Raw genomic sequence first — 14,721 nt, forward strand, 5'->3', positions numbered from 1 at the left:
AGAAATGCTCCCCGGGTCCTCAGAGCTTTGTTGTGGCTGGACGCATCTTCTGGAACTGCGACAGCGGAGGAGGAAGCCAAGAGAGTGAACCAAAACAAGGAAGGGCGGAGGGCGGGGGAGGCCTGCAAACCTTACGGCTTATTTCCACTGACATCAGAGACTCATGTTAATAAGTAACAAGCGGCTTTGTTTGTTATGCTCCTCAGACACGCGGTAAGGTAGACACACAGAAATGCACAGCTGTACGTATTTGTCTTGAAGGCTAGAATTTACTTTAAATGTGAGTGGTTTTCCCAGGAAAAATTTATGTCTGTTCTCTTGAGGAATAATTATTTCCTACTCAATTTTATCTATCGATCCATCCATCCATCCATCCATGCATCCATCCATCCATCCATCCATCCGATACAGAGCCTCGCTCTGTCGCCCAGGCTGGAGTGCAGTGGCGCTATCTTGGCTCACTGCAACCTCTGCCTCCCCAGTTCAAGTGATTCTTGTGCCTCAGCCTCCCGAGTAGCTGGGACTACAGGCCCGTGCCACTACACCTGGCTAATTTTTGGATTTTTTTTTTTTTTTTTTTTTTTCCTGAGACAGAGTCTTGCTCTATCGCCAGGCTGGAGTGCAGTTGCGCGATCTTTGCTCATTGCAACCTCCGCTTCCCAGGTTCAAGTGATTCTCCTGCCTCAGCCTCCTGAGTAGCTGGTACTAGAGGCACGTTCCATCACGCCTGGCTAATTTTTTTTTTTTTTGAGATGGAGTCTTGGAGTCTCGCTCTGTTGCTGAGGCTGGAGTGCAGTGGTGCCATCTCGGCTCACTGCAACCTCCACCTCCTGGGTTCAAGTGATTCTCCTGCCTCAACCTCCTGGGTAGCTGGGAGTACAGGCGCGTGCCACCACACCTGGCTAAGTTTTTGTATTTTCGGTAGCAACGAGGTTTCGCCGTATTAGCCAGGATGGTCTCACTCTCCTGACCTCGTGATCCGCCCGCCTTGGTCTCCCAAAGTGCTGGGATTACAGGCATGAGCCACCACGCGCAGCCCTTTTTTTGTGTTTTAGTAGAGACAGGGTTTCACCGTGTTGGCCAGGATGGTCCGATCTCCTGACCTCGTGATTCTCTCACCTCGGCCTGTCAAAGTGCTGGGATTACAGGCGGCAGCCACCGCGCCTGGCCTAATTTTTGTACTTTTAAGTACAGACGGGGTTTCACCATGTTGTCCAGGTTGGTCTCAAACTCCTGACCTCAAGTGTTCCGCCCACCTTGGCCTTCCAAAGTGCTGGGATTACAGGGTTGAGCCAACGCGCCCTGCCCTCAATTATATTTATTTCTTTGCCTTTCCTTACGTCTTTAACTCTTCACACTTTTAAAAAAGTTATTGCCTTCCAAATAATATTTAGGAATATAAATTATTTGATATTAATCCAGGGTAATTTCGATTTGTTTTTAAAAAAGGGGAATAAAAACATTATTATTCAGAAGGGGTTAAATACAATGACAAAAACTGCAATTCAGAATTAATGAGGCGTTATAATAGGGTTTGTTAAAAAAATTATGAGGTATTTAAAATAGATTTTTGGCATATCCTTTTGTGACTTTTGGATAGACTTAAGACTTAGTTTATATATCAATAGTGAGTCTGTATAGGAAAAGAATATAATATTCAGTGACTGTCAAACCAGTGACTGGAGCAGCTTGGTATGAAGCGCTTCTTATTCTGGTCTCCCTAATCAGTGATTTTCAATTTTGAAAACTTTTTTTTGAAGTTGTGTTGTTTTATTTTTCTGCAGAAATATCTTCTGCTTTTCATTTTAAAGTATATTTGCTATTTATTTGCAATCTAGTTCTCATCATTAAAAGCAGTACTAAAATCTTATCCCAGAATTTATAGGTTGTGTCTTTTGTCCTTTTTTTGTTTTTAGTATTTTTCTGTCACTTTACTTCCTCAGGTGAAGTTTTAACAAAAACGAGGGACCATGGATAGGAAAGTAGGAATGAAACAGTTTACAGGGTTGAAGTTGTGGTATAATTCTTTTTTTTTGTTTTGTTTAAAGACAGGGTCTTGCTCTGTTGCCCAGGCTGGAGTGCCGTGGCGAGATCATAGCTCACTGCAGCCTTGATTGCCTGGGCTCAAGTGATCCCTCCAGCCTTGGCCTCATGAGTAGCTGAGACTCCAGGCAGGTGCCACCATGCTCAGCTAATTTTTTTTGTTTGTTTTAGAGATGGGATTTGGCTGTGTTGACCAGGCTGGTCTTGAACTCTTGGCCTCAAACCATCCACTCGCCTGGGTCTCCCAAAGTGCTGGGATTATAGGCATGAACCACCATGCCTGGCCCATGGAGTAATTCTTGTGGAGTTGGAAGGTAGAGGTGTGTACGTGTCTGTTTCTCAAAATAGTAGCACTAGCCAGGAAATCCATGAATTTGCATATTTTTCCCCAAGTTCAGCCCATTTGCTTTGGTGAGTTTGGGGTTATACTTAGAGTGGGTAGTATAAGGAGTTTCTGCCCTACACCTTAGCTTAAGCAATTTGAGCACATTGCTTTTTGAGTTCACCACCAAGGATCCAGAGCTCAGAGGCAGTCTTTCCTGTGCAGATAAGAGTGCACCCTGCCTGCACCTCACGGTCTTGGGCTCTGTGGCTTCTCTCCTCCTGCCACTGCCCCTTATTGTGGGTAGGCTGGAATTCCCTATGGTCCTTTGTTTGGGGAAGGGGGATGCTTGGATGTTCCCGGGTGTCACCTGTGCATGCCCCCTATGCTGTCCTCCCACCTGCCCTGTCCTACAAGCATGACCTGCACCCTTCTCCCACACACCCAGACCGCAGGCTTATTCTTACTCTCCCTGGCCAGCCCCTCTTCTTGGAGAGGAGAAAGGATGATGTGAAAATAAGATCTAACATTGGGGCTCCCCAGCGACTTCCACAAGGAGCAAGGAGCTAGGTGCATGTGTAGACCCCATGGGAGCTTTAGTGTTAGATACCGAGTTTGCTAGATGAAACATCTTTTTAATTGAGGTGGTGCAGATGTATTGTTTGAACACTTTAGACACTAATGATGAACTACTTGGATGTACATTTTTTTGGTTTTTTTTTTTTTTTGCTATGAAAATTAGAAAAAATATTTATCCAAGACAGTAAGTATTGAAAACTGATACTGGTGCTGTATGGATCACTATTATTGTATTATTTGAAACTGTTTGGAAAAGGTATTGTAGTTTTTAGAAAAACAAAGCAACCTGAATATTAAAAGTCTGTGAATTTGAGTAAAAAACAGTCCACATAAGGGAAAAAATATATAAGGAAGGACAATGAAGTTTTGAAACTGTTACTATAAGAAAGCTAAAGGCTGAGCACAGTGGCTCATGCTTGTAATCCCAGCAATTTGGGAGGCTGAGGCAGGAGGATCGCTTGAGGCCAGGAGTTCAAGACCAGCCTGGGCAAAGGAGTGAGACCTCATCTCTACTAAAAATAATTTTTTAAAAATATTAGTTGGACATGATGGTGGCCACCTGTGGTCCAAGCTACTAGGGAGGCTTGAGACCAGGAATTCGAGGCTGCTCTGAGCCGTGATTGTACCACTGCACTCCAGCCTGGGCAAGAGTGAGACCCTGTCTCAAAAATAAACAAAAAAGAAACTTAAAGATTTTAGTCTCAATTTTCTACACTGAACCCATCTTTAGATCATAGCATGTATAAAATTAAAAATGGGGGAATATCAACATTATTATATTTAATGCTATAGCTTATTATTGTATTTAATAAGCTACTTGTTTAAAGATCTGGGATCTCTTGGGTCCACAGACTGAGTCTTTCTGAAGGTGCTTTACACGATGTAGCTGCCAGGGATCTAGGTCATATAATATCCTCAGGATGGGATTTGAAGACATTTTTCCAGAATTTATCTTTTGTCATATTGGATTTTATTTTTAAAAATTTCCTCTATAGTCAAAATTTATATAAATATATGATTCTGATAGTACCATATATATTTAGATGGGCTTATACTGGGCGTGAACAAGGTTAATAATCTTTGTGAATATGTGGGTTATCTCCTTATTTTACTTATTCTTAAGGAAAATTAATTTCACTGTTTACCAAAGAACTGATAGCTAAACCCAAAAGATTTCAAAGAATGTTTTGTTTTTGAAATGTTTCTATTTATCACTAATAAAACGGGTATATCTGTTTAACTTGACCTATCTTTGGTCTTACTAAAACAAAATCAGCTAGACCATTTCCCAAATAATCATGCATTCAATACTCTTTTTCTCTCTCTCTCCCTGCTCCCTCATCTCTACTCCTTTAGAACTTTCAGAACATTCTTTTGTGTAGATACAGTGTTTCATGTCTGTTATTGTTTCTCACTGGTCGTTGGATTCTTTCATGTGACCACCTTTTTCACGTTTGCTCTGATTGCCTTTGGATGCGCCTAACTGTGTGCTTTTCCTGTTAAGGAAAAGAATCCTGCATGTTTTTTTCTCATCGAATAACAATGTTAAAAACAGAAAAGGGTTGTTTTTCTTCTTTGCAGTAGGCATTCTGTAGTAGATACCTTGACATACTTAAATTTGTGAGATGTGTCTAGACGAATGGAAGAGTAATATCTCATATTAATATATTGCTAATAATAAGATAAAGGTTTCAGCTTCCTGGAGCTGTCCATATAATAGAATTTGTACTTGTTTTTTCATTTCTGAGATCCTCATACTTTGGGGTTTTTTTTATTTTTTTATTTTTTCGAGACAAAGTCTCGCTCTGTCACCCAGGCTGGAGTGCAGTGGCGCGATCTCCGCTCACTGCAACTTCCGTCTCCCGGGTTCAAGCGATTCTCCTACCTCAGCCTCCTGAGTAGCTGGGATTACAGGTTTCCTGCCACCACACCCAGCTAATTTTTGTATTTTTAGGAGAGATAGGGTTTCACCATGTTGGCCAGGCTAGTCTCGAACTCCTGACCTCAAGTGATTCGCCCACCTTGGTCTCCCAAAGTGCTGGGATTACAGATGTGAGCCACCATGCCAGGCTCTGAGATCCTCGTACTTTTAAATAAAATGTTAAGATACATGCTTTATGCTTTTGCTGCCTCTCATGTTTCATGAATACAAGTAAACCCATGAGTAACTCATGAATACACATAAACTTCTGGGCCTCCAAACGATGCCCTGCCAGTGGCCATGCCACAGGAATCAGAGGCTGTACTTCACTTTGTGGTTGCTTTATTATTCCACCATTATAAGCTTTAGTAGAAAATGTAAAGAGGGTTGTTAAACTGAAGGAGTGTTGTCTCAAACTGAAGGAGAAAAGTAGTGTTGCTGCTGTAAGATGTACATAAACTAAGGGGTGTCTTTTCTACCATCCAGTTAGCAATTAGGAAAGTCCTTCTTTGCTCATACCATTCCAAAGGGAGTCATCTTATTCTTTCTCTAAATTTCCTTACAATGGAGGCTGCTACAGTTTAAGTATCGAAGGTCCTTTTTTTTCAGATTTCACCTGCAGTGCCTATAAATTTGGGGGAATGCCTTTTTTGGGGGGTGACCAACATACTCAGTGGATCTTGGACCTACCACCAAGTGACCTTCCTTGCTCACCTGTAAGGCTGAGAACACCGTAAGCAAAGTACCAGGCTTCTTTCCCCAAAAGGGCTTTGTAAGCGTTGGCGCCATAAAATCAACCTGAGGACTTAGGTGGCTGGTTATTTCTGAGTAAGTGAATATCACTCTCAAATACGACATTCCAGCAAAGGCCATGGTTGCATAGCCACTGTTTTTAGTTATGTCCTGGTAACTAGGAAGATGGATTGTTTTTTAATCTATGCAAATAATTATATTGCGCTGAAAAAAATGATACTCAATTACAGTTTCACAATTCTGGAGGGATCAGGCAGGGATAATAAGATACCATTTCCAGATGTTTCCTTTCTGTTTATAAAAGCACAGTCGACTGAATTGTTAGGAGATACAGGCAGAGGGAGAAGAGAAAGGGTTCCTTATGTATCCAGAATATAGAGTGTTAAAATAGCAACAATACTGTAAACAAAAGCCGCAGTCCTCCTTCAGTAGTTCATCTGGGCCTAGTCATTAATTTTTGTTCCACTTGATCTTGGGTTAGCAGTCTCATGAATCCGTCTGCTTCTCAATGAGGGTTATAGAAATCCTCTTCCCCTGGTGGGGTCTCAGCATTATTTAGACAATGCCATAAGAAGCCTGTACCCAAAAGTACCCAGCATAGTTCTTCTCCACGGGGCTCTAACACAGCCCCCTCTTGGTCGAAGGTAAGTCACTCTGGCCTATAGCTAATTGCAGATGCTGATCAGGGAAGTGTCAGAGAAAAACAGAAATCTGTAGGTGACAAAAGATTTTAAATGGCTATGGTTCTCGTATTACTGATAATTTTCAAAACTAAATTTATTGAGAGTTCATTACAACAGTATTGGCAACTGATAAGTAAAGTTAGTTATGGTGTGCAAAACAGAGTCAACCCAAAAAAGTTCTAGATACAGCATCTAGAAACACCATAATTAACCTTATTTTAAAAGAACAGTGGATGTTGCATCTAATTTATAAAAATGGAAGAACATAATCTTTACAGAAAAAATCTTCAGATATAACAAAATAGTCCCAAGACATAATATACAATGAATATGCCAAGCATATAATTAGAATAGACCAAGAATATCACATCAAGAGGGTTATTTTAGAGGGGACATAAACACCTATGTATTAATAACATATATTTAACCTAGGGCTGGCTATCTTTTTTGATGTGACAATTTGTCCCATATAACTTATCAATAGTAACACATCAAATGGATCTCCTAATTATTTCAAGCATCTGTTTTTTATTAAAGTAAAAGCACAAATACTTTTTATTTTCCAGGTATGTCTGGGGAATCTTAGACAGTTTTTTGTTTTGTTTTGTTTTTTTGAGATGGAGACTCACTCTGTCGCCCAGGCTGGAGTGCATTGGCCCGATCTTAGCTCACTGCAACCTCCGCCTCCTGGGTTTCAAGCCATTCTCCTGCCCCAGCCTCCCAAGTAGCTGGGATTACAGGTGCCTGCCACCATGCCTGGCTAATTTTTGTATTTTTTAGTAGAGATGGGGTTTCGCCATGGTGTCCAGGCTGGTCTCGAACTCCTGACCTCAGGTAATCCACCCGCCTCGGCTTCCCAAAGTGCTGGAATTACAGGGATAAGCCACCATGTCCAGCCTCAGACAGTTTTAAGTACAAAATATATCATTTAGGATTTGATTTGCGGAAGGCAAAATATCAAAAATTATCAAGAAATTTTGAATACCTGATTCCAATAGGATCATGTAACTTAGAAACAATTTTTGACTACCTATTTAATCAAAGTGACTGTAAAAGGTTTTAAAAGTAAACAGAGAGGTAACATGATTGTAAAGAACCTTAGCTCTTTCCTAAGAGACACGATTTCTTGAATACTCAAGGGTAAAATAAAGTCAATATAAACCATAGAAGGTTATTCTCATAAAACACAGAATCTTTGGAATCTAAGCCAATTATACAGAAAAAAGAATAAGCCTTTATTTTTTAGGTGAATGTGGTAAACAGTAAACCAAAGAAACAGGCTCATCAATATTGGGTAAACTTTTCTTTGTTTTTAAATGTTTAGTCTTTAGTTTTAAGAGATCATCTGCATTTTTTCTGTAATAAACTTAAAAGATATCCACTTATATTTCTTCAGATTTATTAATTCTGTAGCAATTTAAGCATTGAAATGACAGTTTTTCTCTCAATCCTTTTTTTTTTTTTTTTTTTTTTTTTTTTGAGACGGAGTCGGGCTCTGTTGCCCAGGCTGGAGTGCAGTGGCACGATCTTGGCTCACTGCAAGCTCCGTCTCCCCAGGTTCACGCCATTCTCCTGCCTCGGCCTCCCAAGTAGCTGGGACTATAGGTGCCCACCACCATGCCCGGCTAATTTTTTGTATTTTTAGTAGAGATGAGGTTTCACAGTGTTAGCCAGGATGGTCTCGATCTGCTGAACTCGTGATCTGCCCACCTCAGCCTCCCAAAGGGCTGGGATTACAGGCGTGAGCCACCGCGCCCAGCCTGTCTCAATCCTTAACAATGCTATATTTGTTGTATTTCATATGTTTAGCTTTCTCATGGAGAAAAAGAAACATAGGCATAAACCTTTATACTATCCGCCTGCTGGTCCTGCAACATGAGTTTAATAAAGCGTTCCTGATACTTAAACAATTTCTATGATGTCAGCAGAGAGATATCAGCAAGAGTGATTGTAAAGTAGCTAGCCTTATAAGTCAAGAGTTATAATCTTTGATCCACTGCTCAATCCATTTCAAGATCTGATCTACATTATTTTCTAGCTCTTCTGGTTTATTGCTGGGCAGCCGATGCACAACTTCTTCCTTGTAGGATGCCGTGGCTTCTTCATAAAGAACTTGGAAAATCTCACACTGAATATTGTCTTTTAGTTTCTTCTCATTATAACCCCTCATTTGAAGTATTTCGTACAATATGTTGGCATCTATTCTCAACACAAAAACTATGTGAAACCAGCGTTCAGGGAAGAAATCACAACCGTGGTAATCAACAATAACTCCACATTCTCTCATTTGGTTATCTAACTCATCAGCTACTCTGTCTTCATCTAAAATGGGACAATTATACTCTTCATCATAGTCGTCATACAATTGCTTTTCTCAAGCTAAATCACCCACATTAATGTATTTCAATCCTGATTTTGATTCTGATATGTGGTTTTTCCAACCTCTGGTGTACCTGGCTTTCTATGACACGTTTCTATCACCAAGTCAGAACAAAGTGACACTTTAGGACTGAACTCAGGGAGTCTGTGGGGTCAAAACTAATTTCATAATACTACTAAGACTTTAACATGCAATGGGTTCACCTTGCTGTCTCCAAAAAAAAAATTGCACCACTGCACTCCAGCTAGGGCAACAGAGCAAGACCCTGTCTCTCAAAAGTAAATAAATAAATAATTTAAAAAATTATTGTTAAAAAAAGTTTGTCAGGTTAATGATTCAATTTGATTAAGCACAAATTTACATTTTTTCATAGTCTTAAACTTTACGAGTAACGTTCACTTATTTGATCAGTAAATCTGTATAGCTTTTGTAAGAACATGTAAAAGTAGAATAGCAATGTATAGTGTGGCTGGGCACAGTGGCTCATGCCTATAATCCTAGAAATTTTTGGAGTCCAAGATGGGAGGATTGCCGAGGGCAGGTATTTGAGACCAGCCTTGGTGACATAGCGAGAGACCCCATCTTAAAAAATAAGAATAATAATACTTAATGCTGACAACTCATAGAAGACATGACTATTTTTATTAAACCCCAAATATTCAACTAGTCTCATTTGCCAAATATTTACCTAAATGTGTGAACTTGAATTCTTAAAACATTTACGTTTCTATAGGAATACTTTTTTTAGTGCTGTTGAAAGTATTATTGGAAGTTCAATTTCCTTAATTTCTGGGAATTTTAGGAAGATTCAATTTATAGGTGTCTCTTTATTTCTAAGCCAGTCAGAACAGAACATCCTTAAGAGCTATCACATTCTCACTTGGTAAGACCATCTCATGATGGTTATCCCAGGATGAGAGACAATAGCTGCTTTGAAAGTTCCCCTGCCACACTGGGCTTCCAGTACCAGTGCAGCTAATGACCCTGCCCTAACAGCAAATGCTGGGGAGCAGGGTGCAAGTGTTTACTTGGGTGCCCTTCACGGGCACTCCTTTTACGTGGTGGACAGCCTGATGCTTTGTTCTCTAAACCAGTATCAGGCATTCCTCTCATGGGAGATGTGCTTATCCTGGCAGACGCCCTTGTGGCTCTTTTCTGACCCCTCTCCAGTTTATGACTGCCTGACCATCGCTCTGGTGCTCAGAGCCTGCCCTTGTGTTCCTCCCCAGCATCCCGGGGAAAACCCAGGTAGCCTGGGAGAGCCCCTGGTTCTTCAGATGGAATGTGCAAATTCAGCACACCAACACGATAGGAAATAAGTTCCAAGATTTATTACTTCCAGATCCTAGAGAGGGAGGGCGCCATGAGTCGGGAGGGCAATGCTCTATCCCCAGGTCACCAGAAGAATGAATGAAGTGTCAGGCATAGAGCAAGAGAGAGTGGGACCCATGGGCCACCACCTTTACTGGGGGCCAGGGCATTGTCCAAGCAGGTTTCCTGCAGGGAGTTTTAGTTGGTGAGTTTAAAACAGGCAGCCATGAGTTTCAGGATCACACAGCAACTGAGAGGTGGTCCCTGTGGCATACTCCACAGTCCATGTGGGGTGTGGGGTTGGCAGGGCAGCCAGGTAGACTGTCTCTTAGAGAGGCCGTCACCAGAAAGAGGAGGTGTATAAGGCAGATCCCTGGATCAACCCCATTGAGGACTGGGGGTGGCAGGTGGAAGCTGTCGAGGGAAACTAAGCCCTGTTTCTGGTATGAGAAGGTTAAACTTATCATCAAAATAGATGCCAAGGCTATATGAAACTGTCAGTATTCACTACAGTGGCATTTCCACAGTACAATACAGACATACAAACAGACATAGATAATTTGTAAGCTGTAATTCTAAAATTTCAGGCCAGGCGCGGTGGCTCACCTCTGTAATCCCAGCACTTTGGGAGGCCGAGGTGGGTGGATCACCTGAGGTCAGGAGTTGGAGACCAGCCTGGCCAACATGGTGGAACCCTGTCTCTACTAGAAATACAAAAATTAGCTCGGTATGGTAGTGGGCGCCTGTGATCCCAGCTAGTTGGGAGGCTGAGGCATGAGAATTGCTTGAACCCGGGAGATGGAGGTTGCAGTGAGCCGAGATTGCACCATTGCACTCCAGTCTGGGCAACAAGAGCAAAACTCCATCTCAAAAAAAAAAAAAAAAGAAGAAGAAAAAAATTCAGTCATAGACCAAACTTAAAAGCAGAAATATAAAATTTTACTCAGATGTGTACTTCCTGATGGCATGAAATTCTTAATTGTTTTGAAACCAAAGTAGAAAAGCAGACAAACGAAAAATACTAGCAAATCAGATTCTGTTATCTTTCACCCAACAGAGACAAGATCTCTATAAACCAGCAGTCCTTCCCCAAATACGTAGTATACAAACCGCTTCATGTCTGTCATTTTCGTCAACCCTGGGGTCCTTCAAATGCCTTTTGTTCCTTCTCATTTACTTCACCTTGACTTTTCAAGACATATTGGTTATACTACACAGTTGGTTACATTTGAAGTATTTCATGTAAATTACAAAAGTATATGAATAATGTGAATTCATTTTTGTTTATATATGTATATGCATGCATACACATACACACACACTCCTATAGAGTGAACATTTGGCTGAATATACTGCCAAATTGTTAAACAATAGTCATTTCTAGCTGGTGGAATTACAGGAAAATTTGTGTTTCTGATTATATATTTCTATAGCATTTAAATTTTTTGCAAGTCAGCGTGCATTTCTTAGATAAGCAAAAAAAAAATTAAACATTTTATTTAAATTTTTTTCAATTCCAGTTGATAGCAGATGTCAATAGAACAAATAAGTTCCCTTATCCATGCTTCTGTATGTGGGGGATTCACTTGACAGGTGCAACAGAAGCACAAGCATTATTGTGCACCTGTGTCTGAAATGAGAATGAGGCTGCCTAGAAGTCTTGAGAAAAGTGGCTGACGAGTCTACAAAAACACCCTTCTTACCCTTTCTCACTTTGAAGTGCATGAAGACGTTGACACACTTGGAGGTCTGCTGGCTAACTGGTGGAACAGATTCCTGGGGGAAATTTTTTTGTTTTGCTCTTGTACCTCATGTCTGGATTATTTTGGATTGCTTTGGGGACAGTATCTGAGTTTCTATCTCTTGGCCTGTTTTTTCCAGGAATATAAAGGTTTTTTTTCTTTGACATATGCTTAAATGTTTATTTTTAAGTGATGTAACTTTTCAAAAAACTTATTACAGTTTATTTCTGTGGGAAAAATATTTTTTATGTTTTTGACTGTTTTTTGTTCCTTCTTGTTTGAAATCTCTAGCCAACAAGAACATTAGTCATGACAAGCATGCCATCTGAGTAAGTACTTGTTTTGATTTCTGTTCAATGTAAAATGTTAACCTTTTCTCTCTTATACTCTAATTCTGGGTGCCTTTAGGCAACTTGTCAATCTGTCCTGTATCACTTTTACTTTATAAAATTAATATCTGAGTTAGAAGATCACTGAAAATTAAACATGTACCAAATGTGAGCGACTTAGCCTTGAAAACTCTGGGGTTGTTTAGGCAGCATTAAGAGGTGTGTGCTCGTTTTGGTGTTCTTTTGCTTGCTTGATACCAAATAGCTTCATGAATGTTCAAGAAGTGGAACATCATTGACCAAAACATTTCCCTTAAAGGTCTTAAAGCAATACTGCAGCAGAAAGCTTTCCACAGCAGTGTTAAAGTTGCTATGTATGCATTTTGTGGAAGGGTTAATAGCTTGTTGGCATGCTCTTATCATCTCCCTTAAACATTTAACACAACAAAGAACATCCAACAAAAATACAGTGCTATATTCTTTGCAACAGATTTTTGAATTCCTGTTTAAAGGGGAAAACCATGTTTTTGATATCAATCATAGGTTTTAAGGTTTTAAGACATCCATCAAAACATTGGAACATTTCAGTGAAAAATATGCTGCAGAGAGGGCACCTTTAGAACATTTTCAGTAGTGGGATCCTTTTCCTGCCTGGGGCTTAGAAATAAAAGCACTGATCATCAAACACCATACATTATATAGTGAAAAAGGGGGTCACTCAAAATTTTTGTAAATATATTATGAAATATATTGAACATTCTAAATAGTCTAATACAGAAGCGAATATTGAATATATGTGTAATATTTTTTAAAGTCTTTGTATTTTTCCAAAATAAAAGAAAAATTACTAGTTAACTGCTTATTTTCTCATTCAAGATTTAAAAATAAAACTTTTCATTTAGGCCGTCTTCTTGTCTTACTCTTTTTTTCTCCACATGGACTTCTTGTGATACTTAAGAATAAGACCTGGACATTCTGATTTTATGTGGATTAGCTGAGCCTTGCAGAGACACTTGTTACTTACTGGCACATCCAGCAAGCAGCTGCCAGCCTCAGGATGGAGTTCTAGGGAGTGTGTAGTTTAGAGCTTTTTACTTTTTGTTTTTGTTTTTGTTTTCTTTTATCATTTTTGCCTTTATTTCTTTCCAAGTTTAATTATTTTTCTTGACTCAAGCACACATTCTCGGGTTGAAGTAGTGATGAGGCCCAGATCTTGACTCACACATCTTTTCTACCCTAAGGATCTCTTAAGAATTTAAAAGCATGATATAATTCAGCCCTTTCATTTTACAGATAAAGAAACAGGTTTTGAGATGGACATACCTAAGATCACTAGAGATAAAACTAAGAAGGCTGGGTGTGTTGGTTCACGGCTATAATCCCAGCACTTTGAGGGTCCCAGGTGGACATATTGTTTGAGCCTAGGAGTTCAAGACCAGCCTGGGCAACATAGCAAAACCTTGTGTCTACAAAAAAATGCAAAAGTTAGCCAGACTTGGTGGTGAATTGCCTATAGTCCCAACTACTTGGGAGGATAAGGCAGGAGGATCACTTGAGCCCTGGAGATCAAGGATGCAGTGAGCCATGATTGTACCACTGCACTCCAGCCTGGGCAACAGAGTGAGACCCTGTCTCAAAACAATAAAATAAAACTAAGGAACACCATCATTTGGAAGGAAGAGTGTTAGAGGCAGTCTGTATAAGCATAGACAATAACCTCTTCCCCTTTGTAATATAATTTTTGGAGAGGAGAGATGTTTATTTCTTTTTCTATTTATTTATTTATTTATTTATTTATTTATTTATTTATTTATTTATTTTGAGACAGAGTCTCCCTCTGTCACCCAGGCTGGAGTGCAGTGGCGCAATCTCCTCCCACTGCAAGCTCCACCTCCCGGGTTCACGCCATTCTCCTGCGTCAGCCTCCTGAGTATCTGGGACTACAGGCACCCGCGACCACGCCCGGCTAATTTTTTTGTTTTTTTAGTAGAGACAGCGTTTCACCATGTTGTTGTATATATCACAGTGTGGCTTAGAAAGCCCTCCATTGGGGATTTTTTAAATTTTCTGGGAGAGAGAGAAAACTAATGTCAGAACTAATGGCATAGAAAGGTTATTATAAAAGGGAAGAAAGAACTGAGGGTTGTTTGGTAAGGAAGTTGGACGGAAAGAATATATTTTTTTAAAGGATATTTTAAGTATTAAGGGAATGACAGAGCAGGAGATAAGCCATAATGGTCATGAGCTTTGTGACAAATAGGTCCCAGATTTGATTTGATGATTTAATAAAAAGGGTCTTTTTTCCCCTCTTAGTAGAAAAACTATGTGTTGATACTCAATAAATATTACATTTTCAAAATAAAATAAGTGAGGTTCTTGGTTCTGAGCATGCACAGATAGGTTCAAATAGGCCTGAAAAACAAATCATTGCCCCAGTGGGAAGAGTGTTGGTCTGATGTCAGGGGCCTGGTTCCTTTTTTTCTTTTTTCTTTTTTTCTTTTTTTTTTTTTGAGACGGAGTCTCTCCCTGTCGCCCAGGCTGGAGTGCAGTGACACGATCGCGGCTCACTGCAACCTCCACCTCCCGGATTCAAGCTATTCTGTCTGCCTCAGCCTCCTGAGTAGCTGGAACAACAGGCGCGTGCCACCACGCCTGGCT

At 40.2% G+C, this 14,721-nt stretch overlaps 1 protein-coding gene and 1 pseudogene across 14 annotated transcripts in view; one reads left to right on the top strand and one right to left on the bottom strand.

The window, feature by feature from the left end:
- The window catches only part of MCPH1 (microcephalin 1), a 241,882-nt gene that overhangs the window by 58,942 nt on the left and 168,219 nt on the right, over positions 1-14,721 (top strand). For 11 of the 14 annotated variants that reach the window (NM_001322042.2, NM_024596.5, XM_017013833.3 and 8 more), the window contains exon 10: positions 12,026-12,063. The exons of the other annotated variants lie outside the window; for them this stretch is intronic. In NM_001322042.2, the coding sequence (NP_001308971.2) occupies positions 12,026-12,063 (38 nt within the window). The remainder of the gene's footprint in view (positions 1-12,025; positions 12,064-14,721) is intronic. 14 annotated transcript variants of the gene reach the window in all.
- Positions 8,274-11,119, bottom strand: LOC101928016 (adenylate kinase isoenzyme 6-like; annotated as a pseudogene).

Source organism: Homo sapiens, chromosome 8 (genome assembly GCF_000001405.40).
Source record: "Homo sapiens chromosome 8, GRCh38.p14 Primary Assembly".
NCBI classification, from domain to species: Eukaryota; Metazoa; Chordata; class Mammalia; order Primates; family Hominidae; genus Homo; species Homo sapiens.